The 2563-nt window shown below is 45.1% G+C and overlaps 1 annotated feature.

The window, feature by feature from the left end:
• Window positions 1261–1340: an enhancer, noted in NCBI's record as "active region_10164". NCBI's record gives its function as "activates an Ori minimal core promoter by ATAC-STARR-seq in GM12878 lymphoblastoid cells {active_cell/tissue: GM12878}" and the evidence as "EXISTENCE:reporter gene assay evidence [ECO:0000049][PMID:35858748]".

The following is a 2563-nucleotide window of genomic DNA, read 5'->3' on the forward strand; positions in this document are numbered from 1 at the left end:
AAAGACATACAGACAAGTGTACTGTGATGTCTTCAAGAACTGGTTCAGAAATGCTGAAAGCTCTGGGGAACTCCGTAAGCCCCAGGAGTTGGTACTGGCCTTGCTGATAAAGAATGGTCATGCTTGACCTCTTTCACCTTCATTTCTGTTCCTCTTCTAGCTCTCTGCTCCCAGGGCACTTGGAGAAATTGCCTTTCTCTCCTATAAGCTCTTCTGGGGCAGGGCAGGATTGTGTCATATTCACAACCATCCATTTGCCAGGAATCAGCACTGACTGGCAACTCATAAATGTGAAGCTTAACTAAGTAAAGCTGAACTCACTGGGTGTCTTTCTTCAGCTTTCTTTGTTGGTTCCGCTTACTCTGCTCATTGCTTCAGTTCATTCTGTACACTGACATCAAAGTGGCTGCTTAAATGCAAAATTTCATCATGACAACTCATGGCTAAAAACCCAACTTCACATGCTCGGCTTCTAGGTTTTTCATTATCTAAATGCATCCTGCTTTACTGGACCTATTTCTCACACTGTTGTTCTCACCTGTTATGCTTTCTGTTCATATTGTAGGTACTTGCAATTCTAAGAATAGTGCATGGTCTTTTATTTCTCTAGATATTTGCACATGCTATGCCTTACGCATGAATATCTTTCAGCCTCACCTATGAGAATTTGCTCTTCACTTCAGAATTTTCAGAAATTTCCTTGCAGTTTCTCTAACCATAATGTTTTCAGGGAAGACACTGGAAAATATTTGGCAAGCTTGACACCGTTATGTCTTCTAATATTGAAAGCAGACATGACTGATCCGTCACTACAGTCTTCACAAGTTTCATGTTCACAATACATTTAAGCACCCATTACCAAATATTAACATCCGCATATAAACTAAGCTCTGTTAACCTAGCCAGGCATATTAGTCAGTTCTCACGCTGCTGATAAAGACATACCTGAGACTGGGCAATTTACAAAAGAAAGAGGTATAATTGGACTTACAGTTACACTTGGCTAGGGAAACCTCACAGTCATGGCAGAAGGCAAGGACGAGCAAGTCAGGTCTTAAGTGGATAGCAGCAGGCAAACAGAGAGCTTATGCAGGAAAACTTCCCCTTACCATCAGATCTTGTGAGACTTCCTCTCATGAGAACAGCACGGGAAAGACCTGCACCATGATTCAATTACCTGCCACCAGGTCCCTCCCACAACACGTGGGAATTCAAGATAAGATTTTGGTGGGGACACAGCCAAACCATATAATTCTGCCCCTGGCCCCTCCCAAATCTCATGTCCTCACATTTCAAAGCCAATCATGCCTTCCCATCAGTCCTGCAAAGTCTTAACTCATTTCAGCATTACTCAAAAGTCAATAGTCCAAAGTCTCATCTGAGACAAGAGAATTGCCTTCTGCCTATGAGCCTGTAAAATCAAAAGCAAGTTAGTTACTTCCTAGATAAGATGTGGGTATAAGCATTGGATAAATACAGCCATTCCAAATGGGAGACATTGGCCAAAACAAAGGGGCTACAGGCCCCATGCAAATCTGAAATCCAGCAAGGCAGTCAAATCTTCAAGCTGTGAAATGATTTCCTTTGGCTCTGTGTCTCACATCCAGGTCACACTGATGCAAGATGTGGGTTCCCATGGTCTTGGGCAGCTCCACCCCTGAGGCTTTGGTGGGTACAGCCTCTCTCTTGGCTGCTTCTGTCGGCTGGCATTGAGTATCTGTGACTTTTCCAGGTGGATGGTACAAGCTGTCAGTGAATCTGCCATTCTGGGGTCTGGAGGATGGTGGCCCTCTTCTCATAGCATCCCTAGATGGCGCCCCAGTAAGGACTCTGTGTGGGGGCTCTGACCCCACATTTCCCTTTCACACTGCCCTAGCTGAGGTTCTCCATGAGCCCCCCACTCCCACCCTGGCCACAGCAAACTTTTGCCTGGGCATCCAGGCATTTTCATACATCTGAAATCTAGGCCGAGGTTCCTAAACCTCAATTCTTGACTTCTGTGCACCTGCAGACTCAACACCACGTGGAAGCTGCCAAGGCTTGGGGCTTCCACCTTCTGAAGCAAAGCCCAAGCTGTACTTTGGCCCTTTTTAGTCATGGCTGGGGTGGCTGGGATGCAGGGCACCAAGTCCTTAGATTGCACACAGCACAGGGACCCTGGGCCTGGCCCAGGAAACCATTTTATCCTAGGCCTCTGAGCCTGTGATGGAAGGGGCTACCATGAAGACCTCTGACATGCCCTGGAGACATTGTCCCCATTGTTTTGGGGATTAACATTGGGCTCCTAGTTACTTATGCAAATTTCTGCAATCCACTCATAAAATGGATTTTCTTTTCTATCACATTGTTAGGCTGCAAATTTTCTCAACCTTTATGCTCTGCTTCCCTTATAAAACTGAGTGCCTTTAACAGCACCCAAGTCATCTCTTGAATGTTTTGCTGCTTAGAAATTTCTTCCACCAGATGCACTAAATCATCTCTCTCAAGTTCAAAGATCCACAAATCTCTAGGGCAGGGACAAAATGCTGCCAGTCTTTTTACTAAAACATAACAAGAGTCACCT

Source organism: Homo sapiens, chromosome 15, assembly GCF_000001405.40.
Source record: "Homo sapiens chromosome 15, GRCh38.p14 Primary Assembly".
Taxonomy (NCBI): domain Eukaryota; kingdom Metazoa; phylum Chordata; class Mammalia; order Primates; family Hominidae; genus Homo; species Homo sapiens.